This window comes from Homo sapiens, chromosome 5 (genome assembly GCF_000001405.40).
Source record: "Homo sapiens chromosome 5, GRCh38.p14 Primary Assembly".
NCBI lineage: Eukaryota > Metazoa > Chordata > Mammalia > Primates > Hominidae > Homo > Homo sapiens.
The window spans coordinates 153,071,382-153,077,742 of NC_000005.10; the positions used below are offsets into that span (position 1 = coordinate 153,071,382).

At 42.7% G+C, this 6,361-nt stretch overlaps 1 annotated feature.

Moving 5' to 3' along the window:
- Nucleotides 4,803-5,343: an enhancer, noted in NCBI's record as "H3K27ac-H3K4me1 hESC enhancer chr5:152455744-152456284 (GRCh37/hg19 assembly coordinates)". NCBI's record gives its function as "activates a minimal SCP1, AML or CMV promoter by ChIP-STARR-seq in primed H9 embryonic stem cells {active_cell/tissue: H9 hESC(primed)}" and the evidence as "EXISTENCE:reporter gene assay evidence [ECO:0000049][PMID:30033119]".

Below are 6,361 nucleotides of genomic sequence, written 5' to 3' on the forward strand. Positions count from 1 at the left end.
ATTGTTGGACATTTGGGTTGGTTCCAAGTCTTTGCTATTGTGAATAGTGCCGCAATAAACATACGTGTGCATGTGTCTTTATAGCAGCATGATTTATAGTCCTTTGGGTATATACCCAGTAATGGGATGGCTGGGTCAAATGGTATTTCTAGTTCTAGATCCCTGAGGAATCGCCACACTGACTTCCACAATGGTTGAACTAGTTTACAGTCCCACCAACAGTGTAAAAGTGTTCCTATTTCTCCACATCCTCTCCAGCACCTGTTGTTTCCTGACTTTTTAATGATTGCCATTCTAACTGGTGTGAGATGATATCTCATAGTGGTTTTGATTTGCATTTCTCTGATGGCCAGTGATGATGAGCATTTCTTCATGTGTTTTTTGGCTGCATAAATGTCTTCTTTTGAGAAGTGTCTGTTCATGTCCTTTGCCCACTTTTTGATGGGGTTGTTTGTTTTTTTCTTGTAAATTTGTTTGAGTTCATTGTAGATTCTGGATATTAGCCCTTTGTCAGATGAGTAGGTTGCGAAAATTTTCTCCCATGTTGTAGGTTGCCTGTTCACTCTGATGGTAGTTTCTTTTGCTGTGCAGAAGCTCTTTAGTTTAATTCAATCCCATTTGTCAATTTTGGCTTTTGTTGCCATTGCTTTTGGTGTTTTGGACATGAAGTCCTTGCCCACGCCTATGTCCTGAATGGTAATGCCTAGGTTTTCTTCTAGGGTTTTTATGGTTTTAGGTCTAACGTTTAAATCTTTAATCCATCTTGAATTGATTTTTGTATAAGGTGTAAGGAAGGGATCCAGTTTCAGCTTTCTACATATGACTAGCCAGTTTTCCCAGCACCATTTATTAAATAGGGAATCCTTTCCCCATTGCTTGTTTTTCTCAGGTCTGTCAAAGATCAGATAGTTGTAGATATGCGGCATTATTTCTGAGGGCTCTGTTCTGTTCCATTGATCTATATCTCTGTTTTGGTACCAGTACCATGCTGTTTTGGTTACTGTAGCCTTGTAGTATAGTTTGAAGTCAGGTAGTGTGATGCCTCCAGCTTTGTTCTTTTGGCTTAGGATTGACTTGGTGATGCGGGCTCTTTTTTGGTTCCATATGAACTTTAAAGTAGTTTTTTTCAATTCTGTGAAGAAAGTCATTGGTAGCTTGATGGGGATGGCATTGAATCTGTAAATTACCTTGGGCAGTATGGCCATTTTCATGATATTGATTCTTCCTACCCATGAGCATGGAATGTTCTTCCATTTGTTTGTGTCCTCTTTTATTTCCTTGAGCAGTGGTTTGTAGTTCTCCTTGAAGAGGTCCTTCACATCCCTTGTAAGTTGGATTCCTAGGTATTTTATTCTCTTTGAAGCAATTGTGAATGGGAGTTCACTCATGATTTGGCTCTCTCTTTGTCTGTTGTTGGTCTATAAGAATGCTTGTGATTTTTGTACATTGATTTTGTATCCTGAGACTTTGCTGAAGTTGCTTATCAGCTTAAGGAGATTTTGGGCTGAGACGATGGGGTTTTCTAGATAAACAATCATGTCGTCTGCAAACAGGGACAATTTGACTTCCTCTTTTCCTAATTGAATACCTTTTATTTCCTTCTCCTGCCTGATTGCCCTGGCCAGAACTTCCAACACTATGTTGAATAGGAGCGGTGAGAGAGGGCATCCCTGTCTTGTGCCAGTTTTCAAAGGGAATGCTTCCAGTTTTTGCCCATTCAGTATGATATTGGCTGTGGGTTTGTCATAGATAGCTCTTATGATTTTGAAATATGTCCCATCAATCCCTAATTTATTGAGAGTTTTTAGCATGAAGGGTTGTTGAATTTTGTCAAAGGCTTTTTCTGCATCTATTGAGATAATCATGTGGTTTTTGTCTTTGGCTCTGTTTATATGCTGGATTACATTTATTGATTTGCGTATATTGAACCAGCCTTGCATCCCAGGGATGAAGCCCACTTGATCATGGTGGATAAGCTTTTTGATGTGCTGCTGGATTCGGTTTGCCAGTATTTTATTGAGGATTTTTGCATCAATGTTCATCAAGGATATTGGTCTAAAATTCTCTTTTTTGGCTGTGTCTCTGCCCGGCTTTGGTATCAGAATGATGCTGGCCTCATAAAATGAGTTAGGGAGGATTCCCTCTTTTTCTATTGATTGGAATAGTTTCAGAAGGAATGGTACCAGTTCCTCCTTGTACCTCTGGTAGAATTCGGCTGTGAATCCATCTGGTCCTGGACTCTTTTTGGTTGGTAAACTATTGATTATTGCCACAATTTCAGAGCCTGTTATTGGTCTATTCAGAGATTCAACTTCTTCCTGGTTTAGTCTTGGGAGAGTGTATGTGTCGAGGAATGTATCCATTTCTTCTAGATTTTCTAGTTTATTTGCGTAGAGGTGTTTGTAGTATTCTCTGATGGTAGTTTGTATTTCTGTGGGATCGGTGGTGATATCCCCTTTATCATTTTTTATTGTGTCTATTTGATTCTTCTCTCTTTTTTTCTTTATTAGTCTTGCTAGCGGTCTATCAATTTTGTTGATCCTTTCAAAAAACCAGCTCCTGGATTCATTGATTTTTTGAAGGGTTTTTTGTGTCTCTGTTTCCTTCAGTTCTGCTCTGATTTTAGTTATTTCTTGCCTTCTGCTAGCTTTTGAATGTGTTTGCTCTTGCTTTTCTAGTTCTTTTAATTGTGATGTTAGGGTGTCAATTTTGGATCTTTCCTGCTTTCTCTTGTAGGCATTTAGTGCTATAAATTTCCCTCTACACACTGCTTTGAGTGCGTCCCAGAGATTCTGGTATGTGGTGTCTTTGTTCTCGTTGGTTTCAAAGAACATCTTTATTTCTGCCTTCATTTCGTTATGTACCCAGTAGTCATTCAGGAGCAGGTTGTTCAGTTTCCATGTAGTTGAGCGGCTTTGAGTGAGATTCTTAATCCTGAGTTCTAGTTTGATTGCACTGTGGTCTGAGAGATAGTTTGTTATAATTTCTGTTCTTTTACATTTGCTGAGGAGAGCTTTACTTCCAACTATGTGGTCAATTTTGGAATAGGTGTGGTGTGGTGCTGAAAAAAATGTATATTCTGTTGATTTGGGGTGGAGAGTTCTGTAGATGTCTATTAGGTCTGCTTGGTGCAGAGCTGAGTTCAGTTCCTGGGTATCCTTGTTGACTTTCTGTCTTGTTGATCTGTCTAATGTTGACAGTGGGTTGTTAAAGTCTCCCATTATTAATGTGTGGGAGTCTAAGTCTCTTTGTAGGTCACTCAGGACTTGCTTTATGAATCTGGGTGCTCCTGTATTGGGTGCATAAATATTTAGGATAGTTAGCTCCTCTTGTTGAATTGATCCCTTTACCATTATGTAATGGCCTTCTTTGTCTCTTTTGATCTTTGTTGGTTTAAAGTCTGTTTTATCAGAGACTAGGATTGCAACCCCTGCCTTTTTTTGTTTTCCATTGGCTTGGTACATCTTCCTCCATCCTTTTATTTTGAGCCTATGTGTGTCTCTGCACGTGAGATGGGTTTCCTGAATACAGCACACTGATGGGTCTTGACTCTTTATCCAACTTGCCAGTCTGTGTCTTTTAATTGCAGAATTTAGTCCATTTATATTTAAAGTTAATATTGTTATGTGTGAATTTGATCCTGTCATTATGATGTTAGCTGGTGATTTTGCTCATTAGTTGATGCAGTTTCTTCCTAGTCTCAATGGTCTTTACATTTTGGCATGATTTTGCAGCGGCTGGTACCGGTTGTTCCTTTCCATGTTTAGTGCTTCCTTCAGGAGCTCTTTTAGGGCAGGCCTGGTGGTGACAAAATCTCTCAGCATTTGCTTGTCTATAAAGTATTTTATTTCTCCTTCACTTATGAAGCTTAGTTTGGCTGGATATGAAATTCTGAGTTGAAAATTCTTTTCTTTAAGAATGTTGAATATTGGCCCCCACTCTCTTCTGGCTTGTAGGGTTTCTGCCGAGAGATCTGCTGTTAGTCTGATGGGCTTTCCTTTGAGGGTAACCCGACCTTTCTCTCTGGCTGCCCTTAACATTTTTTCCTTCATTTCAACTTTGGTGAATCTGACAATTATGTGTCTTGGAGTTGCTCTTCTCGAGGAGTATCTTTGTGGCGTTCTCTGTATTTCCTGAATCTGAACGTTGGCCTGCCTTGCTAGATTGGGGAAGTTCTCCTGGATAATATCCTGCAGAGTGTTTTCCAACTTGGTTCCATTCTCCCCATCACTTTCAGGTACACCAATCAGACGTAGATTTGGTCTTTTCACATAGTCCCATATTTCTTGGAGGCTTTGCTCATTTCTTTTTATTCTTTTTTCTCTAAACTTCCCTTCTCGCTTCATTTCATTCATTTCATCTTCCATTGCTGATACCCTTTCTTCCAGTTGGTCGCATCGGCTCCTGAGGCTTCTGCATTCTTCACGTAGTTCTCGAGCCTTGGTTTTCAGCTCCATCAGCTCCTTTAAGCACTTCTCTGTATTGGTTATTCTAGTTATACATTCTTCTAAATTTTTTTCAAAGTTTTCAACTTCTTTGCCTTTGGTTTGAATGTCCTCCCGTAGCTCAGAGTAATTTGATTGTCTGAAGCCTTCTTCTCTCAGCTCGTCAAAATCATTCTCCATCCAGCTTTGTTCTGTTGCTGATGAGGAACTGCGTTCCTTTGGAGGAGGAGAGGCACTCTGCGTTTTAGAGTTTCCAGTTTTTCTGTTCTGTTTTTTCCCCATCTTTGTGGTTTTATCTACTTTTGGTCTTTGATGATGGTGATGTACAGATGGGTTTTCGGTGTAGATGTCCTTTCTGGTTGTTAGTTTTCCTTCTAACAGACAGGACCCTCAGCTGCAGGTCTGTTGGAGTACTGGGCCGTGTGAGGTGTCAGTGTGCCCCTGCTGGGGGGTGCCTCCCAGTTAGGCTGCTCGGGGGTCAGGGGTCAGGGACCCACTTGAGGAGGCAGTCTGCCCGTTCTCAGATCTCCAGCTGCGTGCTGGGAGAACCACTGCTCTCTTCAAAGCTGTCAGACAGGGACACTTAAGTCTGCAGAGGTTACTGCTGTCTTTTTGTTTGTCTGTGCCCTGCCCCCAGAGGTGGAGCCTACAGAGGCAGGCAGGCCTCCTTGATCTGTGGTGGGCTCCACCCAGTTCGAGCTTCCAGGCTGCTTTGTTTACCTAAGCAAGCCTGGGCAATGGCGGGCGCCCCTCCCCCAGCCTCGTTGCGGCCTGGCAGTTTGATCTCAGACTGCTGTGCTAGCAATCAGCGCGATTCCGTGGGCGTAGGACCCTCTGAGCCAGGTGTGGGATATAGTCTCGTGGTGCGCCGTTTCTTAAGCCGGTCTGAAAAGCGCAATATTCGGGTGGGAGTGACCCGATTTTCCAGGTGCGTCCGTCACCCCTTTCTTTGACTCGGAAAGGGAACTCCCTGACCCCTTGCGCTTCCCAGGGGAGGCAATGCCTCGCCCTGCTTCGGCTCGCGCACGGTGTGCACACACACTGGCCTGCGCCCACTGTCTGGCACTCCCTAGTGAGATGAACCCGGTACCTCAGATGGAAATGCAGAAATCACCCGTCTTCTGCGTCGCTCACGCTGGGAGCTGTAGACCGGAGCTGTTCCTATTCGGCCATCTTGGCTCCCAACTGTGTCATTTTAAATTCCCATGAGCAATGTATGAGTGATCCAGATTACACATATCCCCATCAGCCTTTGGTGCTGCCCTTATTTTTTATTCAGCCATTCTGAAAAGTCAGCTTCCCTGAGAAGAGGCTAAAGACACACCAGGCAGTTTGTGCCATGTGTTAAAGTGGACCCTGTAGGTTTTCCCTTATCTGAAATACAAGCCTTGAGAGTGGAGATAGGAGTGGTTTTCATCCAGGAAATAGATTCTGAGCAGGTAAAACATTGACAAAGTCAAGTCAGAGGTCCCCATGAGCAGGGAGGGACATGAGGACAGGGTAAGGGAAAAAGAGGATGGGAATGGAGGCCTAGAGGGAAGGCAGAGCAAGAAAGAACTGTTGGGGGTTGGGGAAGCCTGTTTTGGGTTATGCTGGGTTAGCAGGGGTTTTTCTGTTGTTCTTCACCTCAGAGTGCAGATGAAGCAAGTGAGAATGTACTTTCTTTGTGAGAACTCTACCTTCTAATAATACCTTGATCTCACAGGGTACCTTGTTTCCCAAGACCTCAGAGGGTGTGACAAACCTCAGTGTTCCTGTGATACTTGACCTCCTCTTCTCAAGGGAAAGAAACTGAGGCAGAAGAGACAGGCAAGCATCAATCCTGGAATTATCTTACATAGACTAGGAATTGGAGCAATGAGAGGTTAGCATTCTAAGGCATTAATGTTAATTTCCTGTATTGAACATCTCTCTTT